At 42.7% G+C, this 27,853-nt stretch overlaps 1 protein-coding gene across 60 annotated transcripts in view; it reads left to right on the forward strand.

Annotated features, from left to right (window-relative positions):
* Positions 1 to 27,853, forward strand: part of MSH2 (mutS homolog 2) — a 306,764-nt gene that overhangs the window by 26,989 nt on the left and 251,922 nt on the right. For 56 of the 60 annotated variants that reach the window (NR_176242.1, NR_176244.1, NR_176248.1 and 53 more), the window contains one exon: positions 15,493 to 15,602. The exons of 1 other annotated variant lie outside the window; for it this stretch is intronic. Coding sequence is in view for 39 of the 59 variants with exons in the window: in NM_001258281.1 (NP_001245210.1) it covers positions 15,493 to 15,602 (110 nt within the window). In the remaining 20 variants the exon portion in view is untranslated. Of the gene's footprint in view, positions 1 to 14,906; positions 15,137 to 15,492; positions 15,603 to 20,913; positions 21,081 to 27,853 lie in introns of those variants that run through there. 3 more of the 60 variants (NM_001406666.1, NM_001406672.1, NR_176249.1) reach the window with 2 other exon arrangements.

Here is a 27,853-nt window from a genome sequence, read left to right on the forward strand (position 1 = left end):
TCTTTTTTTTTTTTTTTTGAGAAGGAGTCTTGCTCCGTTGCCAAGGCTAGAGTGCAGTGGCACAATCTCAGCTCACTGCAACCTCTGCCTCCTGGGTTCAAGCGATTCTCCTGCCTCAGCTTCCTGAGTGGCTGGGATTACAGGCATGTGCCACCATGCCCGGCTAATTTTTGTACTTTTAGTTTTACCATGTTGGCCAGGTTCGTCTGGAACTCCCAATCTCAGGTGACCCACCTGCCTCGGCCTCCCAAAGTGCTGGGAGTACAGGCGTGAGCCACAGAGCCTGGCCATGTTCAGACTTCTAATAACAGGTTTGTATTGACTCTTAGCCTCATGGCAGAAGCCAAGAGACATGAGACAGCTTAGAAATTTTTGCTTTTTGGAAATGAATGTTAGAGTTACTGGTTTGTGATTAAGGCCTATTGCACTGACAGAGGCAGTGAAAAAGGGTTTGATTGCCAAGGAAGATTCACAGGGCCTAGAATGGCAGTGGTTATGCATCTACAGTTTATTACAGGAGAAGGATACAATCCAGTAGCAGGATTATGGTAAGGATATGCATCACAGTCAAAGGCTGTCATAGCAAGTCATCCAGAGAGTTCGGGTGCAAGTTCCAGTTTTCCTTTGTTGTGTAAAGTCTGTGGTGGGGTGCATTTTCTCTCTCAGAGCAGGATGTGTGCACAGGACACCTTGGAACCTAGGAGCCCAAAATAGAGTCTTCACTGGACTTTTTAATATTTTTCTTGTCAAGCGGACATGTTCCTGTTCTCTAACTAGCCTCTTCAGTGGAGGTCAGAGGAAGAGCCTCATTGAGACCAAGTGCAACTCATCAATCACATGAAACAATGCTGATAAATAAACCACCTAAATATCCCCTGACCCACAAATACAAAACAACACCATTCAATCAGTATTTTTCATGCCTTGATCAGGGGTCATTGCCATGCAGGAACTTTAACAAAACAGTACAGGCTAATAATAGAATTGTTGGAATTAACTCACACAGCACACCTATGAGAGAGAGTTAAGATAGAGGGTCTTGGTGGTCTCTAACAGTTGAATTCAAAGTGAAGTTACCAGAGTAAAGTGAGCAAAGACACATATTAGTACAATATTGGTAGATAAAATCACGTTGCTCTAATAAGCATAGTTTTAAACTTTAACCATGTTTCTCCAGTAATTTTAGTAATTATATTGTTGTTATGTCTAATACATAAAGCATTTTTTACTTTTTTAAAAAATTTTTAGGCAATGTGGGGTCCAAAGTAATTAAAAAAAAATTTTTTTAACATAAAGCATCTTAAAATTTTACTTAATCATGATCACTTAGAACCATTAAAACATACGTTTTGATATTATGGGGAAGCTTCGTTGTTCCTTTGTAGACAGACTTAAAGAAATACAACTTTATGATGACAAGATATAAGATAATTATAGATTTAAATTTTATAGAAACCTTTTCCCTTATCTAGTGCAAGAGGTAGCTAAGTGCTTATTTTCTCAAAGTACTGTGTTATAAAAAGTATTCCTAGTGTAGTCAAAGCTTCTCTTTAGACTGATAAAACTTAGAGCACCTGCATTTACTTCCAACAAAGCAGAATTAAAGAAAATGAGACTTGGCCGGGTACGTTTGTAATCCCAGCACTTTGGGAGGCCGAGGCAGGTGGATCATGAGGTTAGGAGATCAAGACCATTCTGGCTAACATGGTGAAACCCTGTCTCTACCAAAAATACAAAAAATTAGCTGACATGGTGGTGCGCACCTGTAGTCCCAGCTTCTCAGGTGGCTGAGGCAGGAGAATCGCTTGAACCCAGGAGGTGGAGGTTGCAGTGAGCTGAGATCACACCACTGCGCTCCAGCTTGGGCAACAAAAAAAAAAAAAAAAAAAAGAAAAAGAAAATGAGTCTTTACTGGCTGGGCACAGTGGCTCACACCTGTAATCCCAGCACTTTGGGAGACCGAGACGGGCAGATCACCTGAGGTCGGGCATTCGAGACCAGCCTGACCAATATGGAGAAACCCCATTTGTACTAAAAATACAAAATTAGCGGGGCGTGGTGGCGCATGCCTGTAATCCCAGCTATTCGGGAGGCTGAGGCAGGAGAATTGCCTGAACCCGGGAGGCGGAGGTTGCGGTGAGCAGAGATCGTGCCGTTGCACTCCATTCTGGGCAACAAGAGCGAAACTCTCCATCTCAAAAAAAAGAAAATGAGTCTATACTTTGCTGTTTTCATACTCTCTTAGTGTGGTGTAGGCAGCCATGTATCCCCCTTGTGCCTCTATTTCTCCATTCTGTGAATGAGTGTCTTCCACTGCTGTGCTTTTCTGATTCCGTAACCTTTGTTTGTTTGTTTGTTTGTTTGTTTGTTTGTTTTTTATTGATCATTCTTGGGTGTTTCTCGCAGAGGGGGATTTGGCAGGGTCACAGGACAATAGTGGAGGGAAGGTCAGCAGATAAACAAGTGAACAAAGGTCTCTGGTTTTCCTAGGCAGAGGACCCTGCGGCCTTCCGCAGTGTTTGTGTCCCTGGGTACTTGAGATTAGGGAGTGGTGATGACTCTTAATGAGCGTGCTGCCTTCAAGCATCTGTTTAACAAAGCACATCTTGCACCACCCTTAATCCGTTCAACCCTGAGTGGACACAGCACATGTTTCAGAGAGCACAGGGTTGGGGGTAAGGTCACAGATCAACAGGATCCCAAGGCAGAATAATTTTTCGTAGTACAGAACAAAATGAAAAGTCTCCCACGTCTACCTCTTTCTACACAGACACGGCAACCATCCGATTTCTCAATCTTTTCCCCACCTTTCCCCCCTTTCTATTCCACAAAACCGCCATTGTCATCATGGCCCGTTCTCAATGAGCTGTTGAGTACACCTCCCAGACGGGGTGGTGGCCGGGCAGAGGGGCTCCTCACTACCCAGTAGGGGCGGCCGGGCAGAGGCGCCCCTCACCTCCCGGACGGGGCGGCTGGCCGGGCGGGGGGCTGACCCCCCCCCCCCGCCTCCCTCCCGGACGGGGCGGCTGGCCAGGCGGGGGGCTGACCTCCCCGCCTCCCTCCCGGATGGGGTGGCTGGCCGGGTTGGGGGCTGACCCCCCGCACCTCCCTCCCGGATGGGGCGGCTGGCTGGGCAGAGGGGCTCCTCTCTTCCCAGTAGGGGCAGCCGGGCAGAGGCGCCCCTCACCTCCCGGATGGGGCGGCTGGCCGGGCGGGGGGCTGACCCCCCCACCTGCCTCCAGGACGGGGCGGCTGGCCGGGCAGAGCGGCTCCTCACTTCCCAGTAGGGGCGGCCAGGCAGAGGCGCCCCTCACCTCCCGGACGGGGCGGCTGGCCGGGCAGAGGGGCTCCTCTCTTCCCAGTAGGGGCGGCCGGGCAGAGGCGCCCCTCACCTCCCGGATGGGGCGGCTGGCCGGGCGGGGGGCTGACCCCCCCACATCCTTCCCGGACGGGGCGGCTGGCCGGGCAGAGGGTCTCCTCACTTCCCAGTAGGGGCGGCCGGGCAGAGGCGCCCCTCACCTCCCGGACGGGGCAGCTGGCCGGGCGGGGTGCTGACCCCCCCACCTCTCTCCTGGCTGGGCGGCTGGCTGGGCGGGGGGATGACCCCCCCATCTCCCTCCTGGATGGGGCGGCTGGCCGGGCGGGGGGCTAACCCCCCCACCTCCCTTCCGGACGGGGTGGCTGCCGGGCGCAGACGCTCCTCACTTCCCAGACGGAGTGGCTGCCGGGCGGAGGGGCTCCTCACTTCTCAGACGGTGTGGCTGCCGGGCGGAGGGGCTCCTCACTTCTCAGACGGGGCGGTTGCCAGGCAGAGGGTCTCCTCACTTCTCAGACGGGGCGGCCGGGCAGAGACGCTCCTCACATCCCAGACGGGGCGGCAGGGCAGAGGCGCTCCCCACATCTCAGACGATGGGCGGCCTGGTAGAGACGCTCCTCACTTCCTAGATGGGATGGCGGCCGGGCAGAGACGCTCCTCACTTTCCAGACTGGGCAGCCAGGCAGAGAGGCTCCTCACATCCCGGACGATGGGCGGCCAGGCAGAGATGCTCCTCACTTCCCAGACGGGGTGGCGGCCGGGCAGAGGCTGCAATCTCGGCACTTTGCGGGGCCAAGGCAGGCAGCTGGGAGGTGGAGGTTGTAGCGAACTGAGATCACGCCACTGCACCCCAGCCTGGGCACCATTGAGCACTGAGTGAACGCGACTCCGTCTGACATCCCGGCACCTCGGGAGGCCGAGGCTGGCGGATCACTCGCGGTTAGGAGCTGGAGACCAGCCCGGCCAACACAGCGAAACCCCGTCTCCACCAAAAAAATACCAAAACCAGTCAGGCGTGGCGGCGCGCACCTGCAATCGCAGGCACTCGGCAGGCTGAGGCAGGAGAATCAGGCAGGGAGGTTGTAGTGAGCCGAGATGGCAGCAGTACAGTCCAGCTTTGGCTCGGCATCAGGGGGAGACCATGGAAAGAGAGGGAGAGGGAGACCGTGGGGAGAGGGAGAGGAGGGAGAGGGAGAGGGAACCTTTTGTTTTATTCCAGTAGGACCAGCTAGAAACAGAAGGTGATTGACCAGTATTAGGGATGGAATCAGGGTACAATTATGGAGACAGGCTATCTAAACAATTCACTCTCACCATTTAAATCAGCTGTTTGATCATTTTTTTTCCATATATCTTTACCATCGCATAGTAAATAATATCCTTTTTATTTTCAAGAGGGAGTATTGGCCTTAAGTTAGGAACTCTCTTAATTTTTTTCCCCCATCATCCCACCCGCACTTCTTACTCCTTACTTCCTACTTGCTTTTATTCTTTACTGGCTCTTTACCACTGCGTATTTTTAGGTGCATACATCTATTTTTTAAAAAAGCACCCTTGTTCCTGGGTCCTCTTCCAGTACCATCTATTAATATATCTCTCTCCCTCTTTCCACTCCCAGCTGGGTTTCTGAAAGCGTGCACTTCCCATCTTCCATTCATTCATCTGGTTTCCAGCCCTGACCACAGTACTGAAATGGCATTTGCTAGGTGACCTTTATTTTTTTTTAAATCCAGTGAATGCGGTATAGTCCCCCCGCTTTTTTCTTTCTTTTTTTTTTTTTGTTTTTTGTTTTTTGTTTTTTTGAGACAGAGTTTTGCCCTTGTTGCCCAGGCTGGAGTACAATGGCGTGATATCGGCTCACGGCAACCTATGCCTCCCCAGGTTCAAGCGATTCTCCTGCTTCAGCCTCCCAAGTAGCTGGATTACAGGCACCTGCCACCACAGCTGGCTAATTTTGTATTTTTAGTAGAGATGGGTTTTCTCGATGTTGGTCAGGCTGGTTTCGAACTCCCGACCTGAGGTGATCCACACACCTCTGCCTCCCAAAGTGCTGGGATTACAGGTGTGAGCCACTGCGCCCAGCCTTGGTATAGTCTTTAACGAAAGTTCACTGATCTTGAAAATTTTGATCTTGAAACTCTTTTTTTTTTTTTTTTTTTTTTTTTTGAGATGGAGTCTTGCTCTGTCACCCAGGCTGGAGTGCAGTGGCACAATCTCAGCTCACTGCAACCTCCACCTCCCAGGTTCAAGCGATTCTCCTGCCTCAGTCTCCCGAGTAGCTAGGATTACAGGTGCCCACCACCATGCCTGGCTAATTTTTTGTATTTTTTTAGTAGAGATGGGGTTTCACTACATTGGCCAGGATGGTCTTGAACTCCTGACCTCATGATCCACCCACCTCGGACCTCCCAAAGTGCTAGGATTACAGGCGTGAGCCACCATGCCCAGCCTTGAAACTCTCCTAAGGTTATGTTAAACATTTTTGTATTCTTGGTTTTCTTTTTGTTCCATGGGTTATTTCTCTTTATCCTTCTTTTTAGCTTTCTTAAGTGTTCCTTTACCTTATCAAATTCTATTTTTGGCTCCCATTTCACTTAATAAGAGGAAAAGCTGGGATTTTTTTTTTTCTTTTGTGGAGACAGAGTCTCACTTTGTTGCCCAGGCTGGAGTGCAGTGGTGCGATCTCAGCTCACTCCAACCTCCGCCTTCTGGGTTCAAGCGATTCTTGTGCCTCAGCCTCCTGTGTAGCTGGGATTGCAGGCATGTGCCACCACGCCTGGCTAATTTTTGTATTTTTAGTAGAGATGGGGGTTTCACCATGTTGGCCAGGCTGGTCTCGAACTCTTGTCTTCCAAGTGATCTGCCTGCCTGGGCCTCCCAAAGTGCTGGGATAAATTTGAGCCATTGTGCTCGTCTAAGCTGGGATTCTTTGAATGAGTTCTTAGAGGCTTCCTGAAACTTTGTGCAACATTTTGTGTATGTGTATATTTTCTGGGGAAAGGATTTGTAACTTTCTATTTTTTGAGAGGGAGTCTCTGTGGCTCAGGGTGGAGTGCAGTGGTGTGATCTCGGCTCACTGTAACTTCTGCCTCCTGGTTCAAGTGATTCTCCTGCCTCAGGCTCCCAAGTACCTGGAATTACAGGCATGTGCTACCACACCTGGCTAATTTTGTATTTTTAGTAGAGACAGGGTTTCATTATGTTGGCCAGGCTGGGAATTTGTAACTTTCATCAGATATCCCAAGGGATATATGTCTTTCCTGGTAGAGAGGGAAGAAACAAAAAACGTGTGTAAATACCCTCCTCTCCCCCAGAAGGTAAGAAGTACTGCTCTGCACATTCCTTGGGTGATCTTTCTCACTCCCTGGGATAATTAAGGAAGTTAGGGATTGGGGTTGAGGGTAACTTGGCATCCTTCCCCAACCTCCCTGTATAGGCACAGTCTAATATACTTGATGACAGTTTGCAACAAGTCAACAATTTCCTACTTTTCTGGTGTTAGGTTTAAGTTATATAGACCTATGGTGATCATAACATTATCTAAATCAGATGCTTCACATTATAGGTCTTGCAGCTGATGTCCAGTTTAGGTGTTTGAAGTGGCTTAGCCTGGAAAATGTTACAGGGGAAAATCTGCTTTCCATGTGTTATGCTCAGAGCTGTGTTCTTTTCTTTTACACAATATGTTTGACATTTGTTGAATTTTAGGTGTACCCTGGTCATTAGGAACTCCCTAAAGGATCTCTGTGAGGTTTTAAAAAAACAAAACAAAACAAAAAAACAGTGGCATTTTGCAGAACTCAGTATAGCTCTTTACCATACTGACTGCAAGGAGAAAGTAAAAAGTGAGACTAATTTTGCAATTAGTCTCCCAAGTTTCTTTACAAGAAAATAGACCAAAGGTACTATGTTTAAAAGCAAAATCATGGCTTAAAAGTTTTTCTTTTTCTTAATATATTAATATATTGCTATAAATTGAGTATTGCTCTCTTGCTATCTTGTGTTTTTTTGGTTTTTGATTAACTCTAAGCTTAATGTTATTCCTGACAAATAAATAAATAAATAAATAAATAAATAAATAAAGTGAATTCAGAGAGACAGTAGAGGGCAGCAGCCGTTTAGAAAGTAGATTCACATTGAGTGATTACGGCTCTTTTAAATCTTTCTCCACTAAGAGATAGCTAATTTCCGAAAAGGTATACTTGGCCTCCCATATTCCTTATGTCTCTTAAAACTAAAAAAGCTGGGACAAAACTTAAAATAACAGTATTCTACGGTTAGGGCAAATTTCTGATACTGCTTAAAACAATTTACCGAGGTATCTTTATTTTTTTTTGAGACAGGGTTTCACTCTGTCACCCAGGCTGGAGTGCTGGAGCCTTGACCTCCTGGGCTCAGCTCAAGTGTTCCTCTCACCTCAGTCTGCCAAGTAGCTGGGACTACAGGCATGCACCATCATTCCCAACTAATTTTTTAAAATTTTTTGTAGAGATGGGGGTTTCATCATGTTGCCAGGCTGGTCTCGAACTCTTGGGCTCAAGCAATCTGCCCACCTCGTCCTCCCGAAGTACAGGGTTATAGGCATGAGCCACCACTCCCAGCCTCAGATTTTTTTATTGATGAATTTTATTATAACAGCTACAATACTGAGATGCATAACCCTTCCCTTTCCTGATACCCAGTTATCATCTGTTTCTGTTTAATACACTCCTTAAGTACCTCACATTTGCTATTCCCCTGCCCCCCATGGTCTATGCATCTTCTTCATTGAAGTGGTAGTAGTCTTTGTTAGCTCATCTGGTCATGTCATCAATTCAGAGCACATTACCTCTTTAGTTCAGAACACATTAATTGCTTCCCATAATCTTCAGGACACGGCCCCATTTCTTCACGTGGCTTGGCCATTGCTTCCCTGTTCAGCTTCCCCCACACTCCCTCACCTACACCTTCTGTCTCAGTATAGTACTGCTAGTCTCCAGACATGCCATGCCTTTTTATGCTTCTATGCGTGTTTTCCTGTCTTTAATGTCCTTGTCCATGTGATGAACCCCTACTCATTTTTCCAAGATTGAACTCAAATGTCACCTTTTCTGTGAGCTTCTCTGCTCTTCTCATGCAGAGTAGAAGTGTTTATCTCCATTGCCCTTGACCCTAAATAACAGTACATTAGTATAATAATCACATTTTTTACCTGTTTGTGTGCTTTCCTTCTAAATGGAGAATAAGAATATAAAAGTGATTTATTTGGCATTTCTGCAAAGGGAGATGATAAAAAGAATCTGCGTTACTTAGCCTTTTTAAAAAACCCTTAGCCTATGAAGGCTACTATTTAAGGTTTGGTTGGATTTTGTATGTTGGAAATATGTTCTTTAAATCTCATCTTCATCAGTTTATAAAAGCAATATAAGTTCTTTGTAGATCATTATCATGCCATCCAGATGTAGTCATTATTGTTTTGATATAGGTTGTTTCAGTCTTTAAACCAAATTATACACTGTTCCGCTGTAACTCTTGTTTTGAAAACAGATTTGTTCCAATGTGGGTGGTATATTAGGGAACAATTTGAGCATAATGTAAATTTTGAGTTTGCTTATGCACAAATCCCTAGGCAACACTAGGTGAATGCAGAAAAATGCATGCAGCTGAACTCAGCAGTGTAGATATATACAAAAGATACACATACACACGCTCTTCAAATACCTACCTTATTTTCCTGTATGTGTTATGAACCATACCCATTCACATCTGGTATTACAACTTTGCCACCCATTTCAGACAGTATTCCTTTGACCATTCTGCAGTAACTCAGAAGCTGCAGCCCTTTAGAAGTCTACTCCACTGTGGCTCACGTCTGTAATCCCAGCACTTTGGGAGGCCGAGGTGGGTGGATCATGAGGTCAGGAGATCAAGACCATCCTGGCTAACACGGTGAAACCCCGTCTCTACTAAAAAAAAATAGAAAAACCTAGCCGGGCGTGGTGGTGGGCATTTGTGGTCCCAGCTACTCGGGAGGCCGAGGCAGGAGAATGGCGTGAACCGGGGAGGCAGAGCTTGCAGTGAGCCAAGATTGCGCCACTGCACTCCAGCCTGGGCGACAGAGCGAGAGTCCGTCTCAAAAAAAAAAAAAAAGAAAAAAAGAAGGCCACTCCACAAGCAAACCGCAGATGTTTTGCAAGGTGACTTATTTATTGTAATAGTTGTGTATTTCTTAACCATTTCACATGTATAAAACTGTGCTACTACTTTTATGAGGTTCCTGTCTTTATTTTTTTTAACATGTCGCTGGTGAAGGTTCTGAGAGTTGTGGCTTGAACTCCAGTTTTCTCATAAGCACGGTTTTTTGTTGTTTTTTTTTGAAATGGTCTCGCTGTGTTCCCCAGGCTGGAGTGCAGTGGTGTGGTCTCGGCTTTCTGCAGCCTTGGCCTCCCAGCTTAAGCTATCCTCCCACCTCAAGCTATCCTCCCACCTCAGCCTCCCAAATAGCTGGGACTGCAGGCGTGAGCCTTTGCCCACCTAATTTTTATACTTTTGTAGAGACAGTTTTTCCATGTTGCCAGGCTGCTTTGGAACTCCTTAGCTCAAGCAATCAGCCCGCCTTCACCTCCCAAAGTGCTGGGATTACAGGTGTGTCCTACCACACCCAGACGGCTCTGGTATTTACTGCATAGTGTTCTGATTTTTAGGAATACATACGTTGCATTATATAGCAGAACTGGCTGTATTCAAAAGTCTAATAGAAAATATTGATAGGGTGATAATGTATATAGTACTAATTGTCAGTTGCCATAATTTAACTAATATTGTTTTACTTTTTACTTTTTTTTTTTTTGAGATGGGGCCTTGCTATATTACCTAGGCTGGTCTTGAACTCCTGAGCTCAAGGAATCCTCTTGCCTCAACCTCCTGAGGATGTTTGACATTTTTTGACTTTTTTTTTTTTTTTTTTGAGACGGAGTCTTGCTCTGTCTCCCAGGCTGGAGTGCAGTGGCATGATCTCGGCTCACTGCAGCCTCCACCTCCCGGGTTCAAGGGTTCAAGCACTTCTGCCTCAGCCTCCTGAGTAGCTAGGATTACAGGTGTGCACCACCACCACGGCTGATTTTTGTATTTTTAATAGAGATGGGGTTTCACCATGTTGGTCAGGCTGGTCTTGAACTCCTGACCTCGTGATCCTCCTGTGTCAGCCTCCCAAAGTGCTGTGGGTACAGGCGTGAGCCTCCATGCCGGCCGGCTTTTTGGCAATTTAAATAGTTACAGTTACCTATTATAATTGATATTTAGCTAACATCTATTTTTATTTTAATATTCCAGGAAATTATTATGCAGAAACTTTAAAGGTCTGTGTACTTCTCTGGTGTTTTGATTTTTTTTTTTTCTTTTTCTGTGAGTAATTTTCTAAAACTGGTTTCTAGGCCAGGCTATTTATGTCTTGCTTTTTATTTTTTTTGGCGATGGAGTCTCGCTTTGTTGCCCAGGCTGGAGTGCAGTGGCGCTATCTCATCTTGCTGCAACCTCTGCCTCCTGGGTTCAAGCAGTTATCCTGCCTCAGCCTCCCGAGTAGCTGGGACTACAGGCACATGCCACCACGCCTGGCTAGTTTTTTGTATTTTTAGTAGAGGTGGAGTTTCACCGTGTTGCCCAGGCTGGTCTGGAACTTCTGAGCTCAGGCAGTCTGCCTGCCTTGGCCTCCCAAAGTGCTAGGATTACAGGTGTAAGCCACTGCTCCCAGCCTTATTATTTTATTTTTATGGATTCGGGGTATATGTGCAGGTTTGTCCCATGGATATATTGTGTAATGGTGAGTTTTGGACTTCTGTTGTGCCCATGAACATTGTACCCAATAGGTGGTAATTTTTCAATTCTCATCCCTCTCTCTGCCTCTGCCCTTTTGGAGTTCCCAGTATCTGTTAATTCTCTCTGTATGTCCATGTGTACCCATTGTTTAGCTCCTCTATTTTTTATTTTATTTTATTTTATTTTTGAGACAAGAGTCTTGCTGTATCACCCAGGCTGGAGTGCAGTGGTGCAATCTCAGTTCACTGCAACCTTGGTCTCTGGGTTCAGATGATTCTCGTGCCTTAGCCTCCCGAGTAGCTGGAATTACAGGTCCGTGCCACGATGCCCGGCTAATTTTTGTATTTTCAGTAGAGGTGGAGTTTCGCCATGTTGGCCAGGCTGGCCTCAAACTCTTGGCCTGAAGCAATCCGCCTGCCTTGGCCTCCCAAAGTGCTGGGATTACGGTGTGAGCCACTGCTCCTGACCCCATATTTTTTCTTTTAATTATAAAGGTAATAATGTAAAAAGAAGTCAACTCCCAGTTTAACTCTAGCAGAGTAACCAGTGTTAATTTTTTTTTTTTTTTTTTTGAGACGGAGTCTTGCTCTATTTCCCAGGCTGGAGTGCAGTGATGCCATCTTGGCTCACTGCAACTTCTGCCTCCTGGGTTCAAGCCATTCTCGTGCCTCAGCTTCCTGAGTAGCTGAGATTATAGGCGCCCAGTGCCACGCCTGGCTAATTTGTGTATTTTTAGTAGAGATGGGGTTTCACCATGTTGGCTAGGCTGGTGTTGAACTCCTGACCTCGTGATCCACCCGCCTCGATGCTGGGATTACAGGCGTGAGCCACTGAGCCTGGCCAATCCATTCCTTTTTATGGCTGAGTAGTATTCCATTGTGTGTGTGTGTATATATACATATATATACACACATATACATATATATACACGTATATATGTATGTATGCGTATATATGTATGTGTGTGTGTATATATACACATATACATATATATACACCTATATATGTGGTATGTGTATATATATGTGGTATGTATATATATGTGGTATATATATGTGGTATGTGTATATATATATGTGGTATGTGTATATATATATGTATATATGTGTGTATATATGTGGTATGTATATATATATGTATATATGTGGTATGTATATATGTATATATGTGTGTCTGCATATATGTATATGTGTGTATATATACACGTATATGTGTATATATATACGTATATATGTGTATATATACATATATACGTATATATATACACACACACATATATATACACATATGCAGGCACACATATATATACATATATATATATACATACCACAGTTTCTTTATCCACTTGTTGATTCATGGGCATTTGGGTTGGTTCCACGTTTTTGCAATTGTGAATTGTGCTGCTATAAACATCCGTGTGCAAGTATCTTTTTTGTATAATGATATCTTTTCCCCTGGGTAGATACCCAGTAGTGGGATTGCTGGATCAACTGGTAGTTCTACTTTTAAGGAATCTCCACACTGTTTTCCTTAGTGGTTATACTGGTTTACATTCCCACCAGAAGTGTAGAAGTGTTCCCTGTTCACTGCATCCACACCAACATCTATTTTTGATTTTTTGATTATGGCCATTCTTGCAGGAGTAAGGTGGTATCGCATTGTGGTTTTGATTTACATTTCCCTGATCATTAGTGATGTTGAGCATTTTTTTATGTTTGTTTGCCATTTGTATATCTTCTTGAGAATTGTCTATTCATGTCCTTAGCCCATTTTTTGATAGGATTGTTTGTTTTTTTTCTTGCTAGTTTGTTTGAGCTTGTTGTAGATTCTGGTTATTAGTCCTTTGTCAGATTTATAGATTGTGAAGATTTTTTTCCCACTCTGTGGGTTGTCTGTTTTTGTCTGTTTCCTTCTGCTGACTGTTCCTTTTGCCATGCAAAAGCTCTTTTTTTTTGAGACAGAATCTCGCTCTGTCGGCCAGGCTGGTAACAAAGACACAGGTACTGGTAATAACTGCCATGGCTTATTGCCTACATTAATGATGAAAGCAAATGCTAAATTTCAGCTAGAGGCTAGAGAAAATAAGCCTGGAATTTTCTTTTATGTTTATATACTGCTATGAATACCAGGAGTCCTTGGGTTAAGACTGTAGGGCTTTCTAAAGCCTGTGATCACTAGTGGAGAATGTAGCTTTACAAAGTCTAGTTGGAAATTGGCAACTGGGGGTTAGTACAAGTTACAAGGAAGGGATGGAATTTAAGATGCTAGTGAAAGCTTGGAGGATAAGGGAGCAGGTGAACTCATAAGGAAGTTTATGAACTGAGAAGGGCTGCAGCAAAGTGGGCTCATGTGCTTGAGGAGCCAGAGGACATGTTGAGGGTGACATAGGTTCTGAAGTTCGTACAGATACTTATGCAGTATGGATTCTTGGAAAACCTTCTTTAGTCATGTGATAGAAAAATAACAGCTTATGGAAAAAACAGGGTTGAGGCAGACCTGAAAATACATGAAATTTTAAAAACCGCTTCTAACAGAAGCATAACAGACTGTAATAAAAACTGTGGCCTTCCTGGCATTTGCACCCAAACAACAGCATTAGCCAACTCTTTGAAGCCTTAGATCTGTGGCTCTTGTTTTCTCCTTTGAGGTGTAGGTCCTTGAGGGCATTTGCTTCTAATAGAGGCTAGTTTCATCAGAATTAAAAATCTGAACCATGGTATGAAATTCAATTCTTTTTTTTTTTTCTTTTTTGAAAACACTGGCAAATGTTTTGTATCCTTGAGCTTTCCCACATATCTTAACATAGTGAGTGGAAAGTACAGTGGCTGTTAAGCCAACTACTCTGAGGTCTTCACTGCTAAGGCTTACTCTTAATTGTGTGAGAGCTTAACCTTGATCCCTTTAAAACATTAATGGGCTAGAAAAAAAACCATTCATAAACCAGTGCCACCTCTGAATTTTGCTACCACAATTCCCTTATTTACCAATAGTGCATGAGCTAATTTGGAATAAAGAACTAGGCATTGTAGCACAACAGACATTATGTGGGCAAAGTGTTGTTTATATTCTGTCTAAATAGTGCTTCACATGTATGTACTATTTTCTAAATATGTATAGATGCTTTTGTGATTAATAATAAAACATGAATTCTTAAAACAATTTTGCTGACTTCATAGTAGCTTTTCACCGTTTTTTCAGTAGCTGCTAAAATTTCTGGAGAAGTTTGGGAACTATTGTTTTGGAGTGAAATGCAGTGTGTTAGATATCACTTGCAGAATTCTTCTAAGGGTATTTATTGGCGATTAGAAAAAAAATCCTTGTGTTATACCAGTAGTAATACAAAGTAATTGTTCAGCTTCTGTTAAGTGTAAAGGACTATACAAGTATTGTGTATAGTTATCTCATTTATTATTTTCTGGGTAGCTATTGTTATTATTACTTCGTACAAAAAGGGAAAAGGAGGCTCAAAGTATCATGCTCCAGATAACAGAGCCAGTAGGTAGCAGAGCTGGGATTGCTACCCAGGTCTCTAGTCCTGCTTTTTCACACTATATACTCATTGCTTCACTTACTCCTTCATACATGATTCCCCAGCATGTACTCTTTTTTTTTTTTTTTTTTTTTTGTTTGAGATAGAATCTCGCTCTCTGTTGCCCAGGCTGGCAGGCAGTAGTGTGATCTTGGGCTAACTGCAACCTCCATCTCCTGCATTCAAGCAGTTCTCCTGCTTCAACCTCCTGAGTAGCTGAGATTATAAGCCTATGCTACCACGCCTGGCTAATTTTTGTATTTTTAGCAGAGATGAGGTTTCGCCTTGTTGGCCAGGCTGGTCTCAAACTCCTGAACTCAAGTGATCTGCCCACCTCAGCCTCCGAAAGTGCTGGGATTATAGGCATGAGCCATCATGTCCGGCCTCCCCATCATGTACCCTTAAATACCATCAAGCACAGTTCCATTGTGTAAAAACTTGGCTTGATTTAACCTGTTAATTGGAACACTGTCATTAATGGAAATTAGGAATATGAGGTAAGCTAGAGGTTTTATTTTAATGACTTTGGGTTATTAAATCTATAAGAAATGAAATTCATTTAGTCATAATTAATGTCATGTTTCTGCATCTATATTACTTGTTGGGTTTACAGACGAGGTAGTGTATTATTAGTGGGAAGCTTTGAGTGCTACATCATCTCCCTTTCTATAAAATAAATTGAGTACGAAACAATTTGAATTAAAACACCTGAGTAAATAGTAACTTTGGAGACCTGCTGTACTATTTGTACCTTTTGGATCAAATGATGCTTGTTTATCTCAGTCAAAATTTTATGATTTGTATTCTGTAAAATGAGATCTTTTTATTTGTTTGTTTTACTACTTTCTTTTAGGAAAACACCAGAAATTATTGTTGGCAGTTTTTGTGACTCCTCTTACTGATCTTCGTTCTGACTTCTCCAAGTTTCAGGAAATGATAGAAACAACTTTAGATATGGATCAGGTATGCAATATACTTTTTAATTTAAGCAGTAGTTATTTTTAAAAAGCAAAGGCCACTTTAAGAAAGTTTGTAGATTTTTCTTTTTAGTATCTAATTGTAGCACCTTTGTGGACAGTGGATGTAATATTAAGTGACAGATGGGAAAAGGATTTTTAAAAAAATAGCAACTGTTTCAGTGGATGAAATAAAGATTATTAGCAGAGAAAATGAATATTGGGCATAACTGTCCTGGTGAAAGACAATCTCATAAATGAACAATTTCATAATTTCGTAAATGCAACTGCATTTTATTTTCAAAGAGAAGGAAAATTATAGTCACTGGAAACGGAAAGAGAAGTTAGAGGTAAACATAGGACACACAAGAAAACTTTCATTTTGTTTATTTTCTTGTTTTTCTTTTGAGACAGGGTTTCCCTCTGTTACCCAGGCTTAAGTGCAGTGACACTATCATAGTTCACTAACCCCTCAAATTCCTGGGTTCAAGTAATCCTCCTGCCTTAGCCTTAGTAGGTGTAAATACAGGTGTGTACCACCATGCCTGGCGAATTTTAAAAAAACTTTTTTATAGAGATGAGCTCTCGCCGTGTTGCCCAAGCTGGTCCTAAAACGCTGGCCTCAAGCTATCCTCCGGCCTCAGTCTTAGCCTCCCAAAATGCTGGGGTTTCAGTAGAAGCCACCATGCCGGGCCACTTCTGTTTCTTTTCCATGTAGAGTTCTTTGCAGGAGGAGGTTAGAATAGGTGTGCATCTCCTAAATAGTTGTCGAATATAACTAAAAAGTTAACCAGGACTCTAAATACTATTTACTTCTAAAATTTGTTAATTGGGAACATTTAGGGTTTAACTGATCTATATCTTATGTCTTTAACAATTTTGAATGATAATTATATGTAAAGTAAGAACAGTTTGTGAAATAGTTGAAAATATCCTTACATGAAAGTGAATTTTAAAGCACAGTTTATGTAATGTTAATGTTTTGTTTTGTATCTGTTAAAAATTTGTTTATATGAACAAGTTTACAGGTTTACTGTGGTGAGCCCGTTGAATATAGTGGGTTTTTTTTGTTTGTTTTGTTTTTGTTTTTGAGATGAAGTCTCACTCTTGTCCCGAGGCTGATGTGCAATGGCGCGATCTTGGCTCACTGCAACCTCTGCCTCCTGGGTTCAAGCGATTCTCCTGCCTTAGCCTCCCGAGTAGCTGGGATTATAGGCACCTGTCACCAAACCCGGCTAAGTTTTGTATTTTTGGTAGAGATGGGATCTCAGCATGTTGGCCAGGCTGGACTCAGGTGATCCGTCTGCCTCGGCCTCCCAAGTGCTGGGATTACAGGTGTGAGCCACCATGCCGAGCCTGAATATAGTGTTTTTAAGTTGCAGGACTTTAAAAATAATATTTTGAAATTTTTCTAAGTTAAATTCCCTGTTAAAATGGTCATGCAGGAATATACGCTTGCATTATTCATATTAGGGTAACTGTTTGGTTTGCTAGTTGTTAGATTCTTTGCATTCCTTTTTTTTTTTTTTTTTTTTTTTTTTTTTGAGACGGAGTTTCACTCTTTTTGACAAGGCTGGAGTGCAATGGCGCTATCTCGGCTCACCTCAACCTCCGCCTCCTGGGTTCAAGCGATTCTCCTGCCTCAGCCTCCCAAGTAGCTGGAATTACAGGAATACGCCACCAAGCCCGGCTAATTTTGTATTTTTAGTAGAGATGGGGTTTCTCCATGTTGGTCAGGCTGGTCTCAAACTCCCAGTCTCAGGTGATCAGCCCACCTCGGCCTCCCAAAGTGCTGGGATTACAGGAGTAATCCCCCACCCTTTTAAAAAAATGAGACAGAGTTTTATTCTGTCACCCAGGGTGGAGTGCAGTGGTGCGATCATGGTTCACCGCAGCCTTGAATCTGGGCTCAAGTGATCCTCCCACTTCAGCCTCCCAAGTAGTTGGAACCATAGATGTGCATCACCACACCTGGCTGATTTTTAAATTATTTGTAGAGATGAGGTCTTGCTTGTTGTCTAGGCTGGTCTTAAACTTCTGGGCTTCAGCAGTCCTCCTGCCTCAGCCTCCCAGAGTGCTGAGATGATAGACATGGGCCACTGCCCCTGGCCGCATTTTTCTTTTCTTTTCCTTTCTTTTTTTTTTTTTTTTTTTGAAACGGAGTTTTGCCATTGTCGCCCAGGCTGGAGTGCAGTGGCACGATCTCTGCTCACTGCAACCTCTGCCTCCCGAGTTCAAGCCATTCTTCTGCCTCAGCCTTCCAGTTATCTGGGATTACAGTCATGTGCCACCACGCCCAGCTAATTTTTGTATTTTTAGTAGAAACAGGGTTTCTCTATGTTGGTCAGGCTTGTCCCAAACTCCTGACCTCAGATGATCCACCTGCGTCTGCCTCCCAAAGTGCTGGGATTATAGGCGTGAGCCACCATGCCCGGCCCTAACTGCATTTTTCTTAGTATTTGTGGTTTGAGTTAATACTTGCCCTATGTGATGTTGATTTATTATTACTGGATCATTAAGTGAGGTTTAAAGAAGCTAAATGCCATTTGCTCTATGCCCTCTGGATTTTAAAAGTGCATGGGTGTGCACGTGTGTAGGTATAAATGTTTCCATATTCTAGTATATTCTGTGTCAGTGATAGAGCAGTCTTAGAGCTGTCTTTTCCATTTACTTGTAGGTTAAGAAGCCAAAAAAAGTTGTGTCATCATCCCGTTTAGGAAAACTTACATTTTGGCTATTGTTTCCTCTAGTGCTGCTATTAGTGGAATGATTTTAGGTGTTCAACTTTCAGATCAATGGGAGACAGAAATATTGTTCTGAGACATCTGGAAGCCGAATGTGTTTTATTCCTGCCTGTCTGAGGATGTGGTCTTGCCTTTGATAGGGCAAAGTTATTTGTAAACATTGCTTTAAATAAAAACATGTAAAGGTGTTTTTGATGGTTAACAAAAACTATGAGTATAATAGAGCCTAGTCCCTATTACGGACTGGTATTGATCTGGTGTGGGAAGAGTATTGAGCTTTTCAGTGTCACCTACCTGTATTCCCTTGAAGGGACCCAGAGCCCAGGCAAAGCTCTGCTGAGGTCGGGCGTGGTGGTTCACGCCTGTAATCCTAGCATTTTAGGAGACCAAGGCGGGTGGATCACCTGAGGTCAGGAGTTCAAGACCAGCCTAGCCAACATGGTGAAACCCTGTCTCTACTAAAAATACAAAAATTAGCTGGGTGTGGTGGTGCATGCCTGTAATCCCAGCTATCTGGGAGGCTGAGGCAAGAGAATTGCTTGAACCCAGGAGACGGAGGTTGCAATGAGCCGAGATCATGCCACTGCACTCTAGGTGGGTCCCTGAGTGAGACTCCATCTCAAAAAAAAAAACAAACAAAAAAAAAAAAAAAAAAAAACCTCTGCTGAAATGCTACAGTTAATTTTGCCATTTGTGGTCAGCATTCTTCTTCTAAATTGCTATAATCTTGCCTTCATATTATGTGTCTCAAATTTAAGCAGGTATCAGAATGTCCACGGGAACAAATTGCCATGGCTCTAAGCCCAGAATCAGATTCTTCAGATCTGGAGTAGGGCTGGGGAATTTGCATTTCTAACACACAAGTTTGTTGATGCTGTTTGTCTGGGGTCCACGCTTGCCTAACTTCTGATGTGATTTATTTCTGCCAGTTTCTTTTTTTGTTGTTGTTTTATTTTTTTGAGATGGAGTCTCGCTCTGTCACTCAGGCTAGGGTGCAGTGGCATGATCTTGGCTCACTGCAACCCCTGCCTCCTGGGTTCAAGCGATTCTCCTGCCTCAGCCTCCTGAGTAGCTGGGGTTATAGGCACACTGCACCACACCCAGCTAATTTTTGTATTTTTCGTAGAGACAGGGTTTCACCATGTTGGCCAGGCTGGTCTTGAACTCCTGACCTCAGGTGATCCATTGGCCTCGGCCTCCCAAAGTGCTCGGATTACAGGTGTGAGCCACCCACCATGCCTGGCCCTTCCTACCAATTTCTATCCTCCCTGAAATGCTGCACACTTAGGCAGTCACTGGACAATATCTGCCCCAAAATTGGTTTGTATAATTGAGAATATTTAAGAGGTTGTTAAAATTTGAACCACTTTCTATTCTTCTATTAAGTGTACACATCTATTAAAGATCCCCTTGTAGCTCTTTTTATCTGGGCCATCACATTTCTGCCCAGCAGATGCAGAGGCCCTGTCCTCTCTTCCACCTCCCCACTACCTCTCCTTCCCTACTTTTGGACTGTAAAAGCTGTCTTTCTGCAGTTAATTGTTTTATTCTTTGTAGGTTCTACTCGTTGATAATGTTATCTACTGCTATAATAATTACAGACGGCAACAGGATGATCAAATCTTGGATATTTTAAATTTACATTATGCCTTTTTTATTTTATTTTTTTAAAGTCTCTGCTTGACAGCAAATAAGCCTAACGTTCCCTAACAAATGATGATGTCCCATTAATGATTTGATGACTTCCTGTTTGTAGTTTTTATTTAGAGTGCTTGTGGGTAGTTTTTCATAACGACATTTAAAAATCAGGATATAAATAATTTTTTAAGTTTTTTTTTTAGGCGGGGCACAGTGGCTCACACCTGTAATTCCAGCATTTTGGGAGGCTGAGGTGGGCAGATCTTGTGAGGTCAGGAGTTCAACACCAGCCTGGCCAACAGGGCGACACCCCATTTCTACTAAAAATACAAAAATTAGGCCGGGTGCGGTGGCTCACACCTGTAATCCCAGCACTTTGGGAGGCCGAGGCAGGCAGATCACAAGGTCAGGAGATCGAGACCATCCTGGCTAACACGGTGAAACCCCATCTCTACTAAAAATGCAAAAAATTAGCCGGGCATGGTGGCAGGCGCCTATAGTCCCAGCTACTCGGAAGGCTGAGGCAGGAGAATGGCTTGAACCCAGGAGGTGGAGCTTGCAGTGAGCCGAGATGGCGCTGCTGCACTCCAACCTGGGCGAGAGTGCGAGACTCTGTCTCAAAAAAATAAACAAATAAAAAATAAAAAAATTAACCAGGCATGGTGGCGCATACCTGTAGTCCCAGCTACTTGGGAGGCTGGGACAGTAGAATCGCTTGAACTCGGGAGGTGGAGGTTGCAGTGAGCTGAGATCACCCACTGAACTCCAGCCTGGGCAACAGAGCAAGACTCTGTCTCCAAAAAAAAAAAATGTATTTTTCTTTGAAGCTTTTCTACTTTTAAATGTAATGTATAGTATTATAACAAGTGAACAAAATGATACAAAGAAGTATGGCGGGAAAGGTGTGGTAGAGATGGGAAAACATATTTCCTCCAGCCTCTTAGGTTCATTGGAGGAGCTTGGGAATTCAACTGACACACGACAGATTTACAGGAGAAAAGTTTTATTTCAAGTACACATGAGAGCTTCATAGAAAAGAAGTGAAGACCTAAAGAAACAGACTGGAGAGTTCATATGCCATTTTAATAAAGGATAATGTATTAGTCTGTTCTCATGCTGCTAATAAATACATACCCAAGACTGGGTAATTTATAAAGAAAAAGAGGTTTAATCGACTCACAATTGCACATGGCTGGGGAGGCCTTACAATCATGGCAGAAGGTAAAGGAGGAGCAAAGGCACATATTACATGGTGTCAGGCAAGAGAGTGTGTGCAGGGGAACTGCCCTTTATAAAACCATCAGATCTCGAGAGACTTATTCACCATCACAAGAACGGCATGGGAAAAACCTGCCCCCGTGATTCAATTACCTCCCACCGGGTCCCTCCCATGACACATGGGGATTATGGGAGCTACAACTCAAGATGAGATTTGGGTGGGGACACAGCCAAGACATATCAGATAATAAATTGTGGAGAGGCAGTAAGATTGAAGAAAAGAGGTTTGAGCTTCGAGGGGTGGTAAATTGTGGGAAGGTAATTATTTGGGGCAAACTAATGGCACATAAGGATTGTTTTAGTAAGGCTTGTTATGCATACCCAAAACAAGTGCCATCTCCAGTAATTTAAGAGTCTATGGTGATCAAGAGTAGTTCTCTTCCTGCTAGAAGAGGGGTGGGAGAGAACACCTTCACAAAGGGAAATTTATATTCTGCCTTCATGCAGAAAGGGGGCGAGCAGAGAGTTCCTACGTATACTGTTTCTTCATTATCTTCCTCTCAAAAGAATACTTAGGCTAAAGTGGCATGATTTGGGGTGACATTCTGATCCTCTTCAGTGACAATCCTTGATATTTTTCCTTCTTTCTCTCCAGGTAAACAGTGTTAACATCCTGGTATGCTTCCCCCAATTCCATTATACTAACTCTGTATTGTGGGTTAAAGATTTTTTACTTTGATCAGCAGTATTTGAAACATACCTGTTATACTAGATGTACTCTGACTGTAAAATAGTGGTCAGTGTTACTTCTTTAATGATGCTGTGGGATTAAAGGATTTTATTATAAATGCTGGGAAGAGCCTGGATTTGAGGAAGGTAAGCAGTGCAGTTAGGTGGATGTAGACTAGAAGAGGTCATTTGTTCTCATTTCATTGTTGCCCCTATGACATGCCCGTTTCTTTCTTTTTTTTCTTTTTTTTTTTGAGACGGCGTCTTGCTCTGTCGCCCAGGCTGGAGTGCAGTGGCGCAATCTCACCTCACTGCAAGCTCTGCCCCCCGGGTTCATGCCATTCTTCTGCGTCAGCCTCCCGAGTAGCTGGAACTACAGGCGCCTGCCACCATGCCCAGCTAATTTTTTGTATTTTCAGTAGACACGGGGTTTCACCATGTTGGCCAGGGTGGTCTCAATCTCCTCACCTCATGATCTGCCCGCCTCGGCCTCCCAAAGTGCTGGGATTACAGGCGTAAGCCACTGCACCCAGCCTACGTGCCCATTTCTTAAAGTAGAAAATTTAGTAGTTGATGATGTCAGGGAAGAAAAGCTTTTTCTCTGCCTTACGTTAAGTAGTTGGGGGCAAATTAAATTAATAAAAGACAGATTAGTGAGAGAAAAGGCTGTAAGAATTTGGACTTTATATACCATCATAATAGAGGAAGTAAAGGGAGATGAAGGGCACTTAAGGGAAAACAGATGACTTGTAGGAAAGATAAATGAACCCTTAAGAGAATAGATGAGAAATATGAAGGTTTTGTGACAATGTCTGTTTAGGTGGTTACTTCTCTTCTTGTTATGAGAGTCAGTCTTCTGGTTGCTGGAAACTGCTAGGAGATTTATAACAATTGGGCTCTTTCGAGAGGCTCTTCTTTTAAGCAGATAAGGGAGTTCACAAAAAAGCCTGTTCTCAAATGATTTCAGCACACACACACACACACTTACGACACAGTTAAGTACTGTGCCAGTAAGATGTGAGTTGTGCATTTCTTTTTTTTCTCTGAGTAGACTGTTTGAGGTTATTTATATCAGGACTTGTTATGCAGGTAACTGAAAACTCAACATAATCTAGGTTATGTAGTTAAAAGTATGGAGAGAAGGTAGGCTTTATTTAGAGTTGCTTGATCCTGTAGATCTCTTCTACCTTTTGTAATTTTAATTTCAACCAAGGATGGTTCCCTTTTTGGCCCTAGGACCAGTTAGCAGTTGGGGCACCATTCCAAGCAAGAGTCCTGCAGTTTGTAGTGATGGGACCATTTAAACAGTGATTGTGACCAGGGACATAGAATGGGATGATTGGCCCGAGGTAACCATGGTTGGGTATGGAGTCAGCTTCCCTGTAGGAAGAGATAGACAAAGTCTGAGCACTCCTGGGAAGGGGGAGGAAGGGAATAACTGTTGTGTAAATCATCAGCAGTGTCTACTAAGATACCATCTGTAACCATAGGCTTCTATGTTTTATAATATAAGGCTGTCTTTTAAATAAATCAGATTCCCTGTTAAAGATCTGTTCTAGATTCCCTAGGGGGTTGACCTCATATAGTATCTTCTTTTTCTTTGGTTACAAACTTTTAAACTTGTCTGAGGTTATAAGGTGAATTCAACTGTCCACTGTCAATGTAGATATTTTTAATGGATTTAGGGATTTAAATTACATGATTCAGAACCACTTTGAGGAAGTCTAGGGAATATCAGTTGTTTCTGTATAATTTCTGAAAGCTTCACTGTTTTCTAGGTGTGCACTTAATTCATGTGATGAAGGGAACAGTATTTACATGAGTGGTTTGGTTAATTTTTCCCCTCCTAAGCTTAGCTTTGTGTATCGTGCGTGCTTCCAGTGTTTTTGTGGCTGCTTTACATAAGTCTTTTAGAAGTATTTTCTATTTTTGAAGTAAATGTGGATCAAAACCACCCCAAGACAGGATTGAAAAAAAGACAGTTTTTCGCAAGAAAGTAAATAATTTTATTTAGCTTGGGACTTTAAATGATATGTCTTAAATGTAAACATTTCTATACTGCATTTTGGCCATCTTTTGATACTAGTTTTCAGATGCATATTGTTATTTCATTTATTATTGGAAAAGTAGTAACTTTAAACAAATTTTTATTGAAAATGCTGACAGAGGCCGAGTGTAGTAGCTCACACCTGTAATGTCAGCACTTTGGGAGGCCGAGGCGGGCGGATCACGAGCTCAGGAGATCAAGACCATCCTGGCTAACACGGTGAAACCCCGTCTGTACTAAAAATACAAAAAAATTAGCCGGGCATGGTGGCAGGTCCCTGTAGTCCCAGCTACTCAGGAGGCTGAGGCAGGAGCATGGCATGAATCTGGGAGGCGGAGCTTGCAGTGAGCCAAGATCGCGCTACTGCACTCCAGCCTGGGCAACAGAGCAAGACTCCATCTCAAAAAAAAAAAAAAAAAGAAAGAAAATGCTGACCAAAAAAAATGAAATAGTTTTAAAGAAGCCACAGTTGTGTGATCCTGATACAACTATATCATTATTGTATGAGTATATATGAGTTATAAAAATAGTATATGTAAATGCTTCATAATTTTTATTATTAGAAATGAAAAAGTATAACAAGGGGGGTATTCATATTCTCTCCACTTAGAATTAACCCTCAACATGTTGACATCTTTGTTTATAGTAATCCTTTTTTGTTTTTTTTGTTTTTTATTATACTTTAAGTTCTAGGGTACATGTGTACAATGTGCAGGTTTGTTACATATGTATACATGTGACATGTTGGTGTGTTGCACCCATTAACTCGTCATTTACATTAGGTATATCTCCTGATGCTATCCCTCCCCCCTCCCTCCACCCCTCAACAGGTGTGTGATGTTCCCCTTCCTGTGTCCAAGTGTCCTCATTGTTCAATTCCCACCTATGACTGAGAACATGCGGTGTTTGGTTTTTTGTCCTTGCGATAGTTTGCTGAGAATGATAGTTTCCAGCTTCATCCATTTCCCTACAAAGGACATGAACTCATCATTTTTTATGGCTGCATAGTATTCCATGGTGTATATGTGCCACATTTTCTTAATCTAGTCTGTCATTGTTGGACATTTGGGTTGATTCCAAGTCTTTGATGTTGTGAATAGTGCCGCAATAAACACACGTGTGCGTGAGCCTTTATAGCAGCATGATTTATAATCCTTTGGGTATATACCCAGTAATGGGATGGCTGGGTCCAATGGTATTTCTACTTCTAGATCCCTGAGGAATCGCCACAGTCTTCCACAATGGTTGAACTAGTTTACAGTCCCACCAACAGTGTAAAAGTGTTCCTATTTCTCCACATCGTCTCCAGCACCTGTCGTTTCCTGACTTTTTAATGATCGCCATTCTAACTGGTGTGAGATGGTATCTCATTGTGGTTTTGATTTGCATTTCTCTGATGGCCAGTGATGATGAGCTATAGAAATCCTTTTTAGAAACAACAGAGCCTTGTTGTAAAACAGGTAAATGTACGTGAGGACTTCAAAAAGTTTGTGGAAAAATGGAATTAAAAGATAAAATTTAAAAACACATTTTAAATTTATTTCCCAACATAAGCTCCTCAAGTTCAAGACACTTTTATAAATGATGATCTCAGCTGTTTAGTTCATCCGTAAAGAACTGAGGGTACTAGAAATTTTACCATGTCAATGCAGTCTCTTTACATTACTAACTAAAGAAAAATAGGTGCTCTTTAAAGATCTTTTAAGATTAGGAACAAAAAGAAGTCAGAAGAAGCCAAATCAAGGTGGATGCTTAACGACTTTCCATAGAAACTTACAAAATTGGCCTTGTTTGATGAGAAGAGCGTGCAGGAACGTTGTCATGGTGGAAAAGGACTTTGATGATGCTTTCCCTGGCATTTTTCTGCAAAAACTTGGGATAACTTTCTCAAAACACTCTAATAATAAGCAGAGCTTATGTTCTTTATCCCCCCAGAACATCAGCAAGCAAAATGCCTGAACATCCCAAAAAACTGTTGCCATGACCTTTGCCCTTGACTGGTCCACTTTTGCTTCGACTGGACCACTTCCATTTTTGGTAGCCATTGCTTTGATTGTGCTTTGTCTTCAGGATGGCATTGGTAAAGCCATGTTTTGGCTCCTGTTACAGTTCTTTGAAGAAATGCTTCAGGATCTTGATCCCTTGTTTAAATTTCTATGGAAAGCTCTGCTCCTGTCTGCAGTTAATCTGGGTGCAACAGTTTTGTCACCCATCAAGTGAAAAGTTTGTTCAGCTTTAATTTTTCAGTCAGAATTGTGTAAACTGGACCAATTGTTGAGATGCCTGTAGTGTTGGCTATTGTTTCTGCTGTTAGTCATTAGTTCTCTTCAATTAGGGAATGAACAAAATTAATTTTTCCTGAAAAATTGATGTGGATGGTCTGCCGCTGTGGGCTTCATCTTCGACATGGTCTCATCCCTTGTTAGAACAAGTTATCCGTTTGTAAACTGCTGATTTCCTAGGAGCATTGACCCCATAAAATTTTCATAAAGCATCAGTTATTTCATTATTCTTCTATGCAGACTTCACTATAAATTTGCTGTTTGGTCTTACTTCAATTTTAGCAGAACTCATACTGCTCTGACATCTAAACTGATGTCTTAGCCTTCATAGTGTCTCTGACTAGATCCTATTCAGACGTGTTATAGCAAATTAGTAAAGTTTATTTTGGTGCCAAAAACTTTTGAATCCACGCATAGTTTTTTCACAACACATTTTCCATGAACTTTTTGAAGACCCTTCATATATTATAAGAAGAAAGTTAAAAATATCCCCTGCATCTACTACTCAGAAATAACCACTGTTAACATTAAGTCTGTTCTCAACTCTAGGCATTATTGAGGGTTTTGAGGACAGGTCTTGAAAATTTCTATGGCTACCTTTTACTGGGTGGAGACTAGCATGTATAGTTGACCGCATAGGTTAATCCCTCCACTCAAAAAGCCACAATTTTAAAGTGTAGTATTCACTAGCATTTAGTATATTCACAGTGTTGTGAAATGACCACCACCATCTAGTTTGAAAATATTTCATCACAACCAAAAGAAAACCTCATATCTATTAGCGGTCTCTCCTGTTTCCCCAGACACCGGCAACCACTAATGTACTTTTTGTCTCTGTGGACTTGTCAGTTCTGGACATTTTATATAAATGGAATCATGTGACCTTTTATGATTGACCTCTTTCACTTAGTATAATGTTTTAGAGGCTCATCCACATTGTAGCATGTGTCAGTACTTCATTTCCTTGTGTATTGGTCCATTCTTGTACTGCTATAAAGAAATAGCTGAGACTGAGTAATTTATAAAGAAAAGAGGTTTAATTGGCTCATGGTTCTGCAGGCCGTACAGGAAGCATGATGATGGCACCTGCTCAGCTTCTGGGGAGGCCTCAGGAAATTTAAAATCATGGCAGAAGGGGAAGTGCGGCGTCTTACATGGTGGAGCAGGAGCAAGAGAGAGAAGGGGGAGGTGCTCCACACTTTTAAACAACTAGATCTCAGGACAAGTCAGTCACTATAATGAGAACAGCACCCAGGGGAAACCGCCCTCACGATCCAGTCACCTCTCACCAGGCTCCACCTCCAGCACTGGGGATTCCAGTTCCAATTCAACATGATACTTGGGTGGGGGCACATATCCAGACCATATCTCCTCGTATAGCTGAATAGTATTCCCTTATATGGACATACCACATTTATTATTAATTTATTGATTGATTGACAGGATCCTGCTCTGTTGTCCAGGCTGGAGTGCAGTGGTTTGAGCATAGCTCACTGCAGGCCTTGAATTCCTGGGCTCCAGTGATCCTCCCACCTCAGCCTCCTGCGTACCTGAGATTATAGGTGTGTGCCACCACACCTGGCTAATTTTTTTTATTTTT

This window comes from Homo sapiens, chromosome 2 (genome assembly GCF_000001405.40).
Source record: "Homo sapiens chromosome 2, GRCh38.p14 Primary Assembly".
In the NCBI taxonomy this organism is placed as follows: domain Eukaryota; kingdom Metazoa; phylum Chordata; class Mammalia; order Primates; family Hominidae; genus Homo; species Homo sapiens.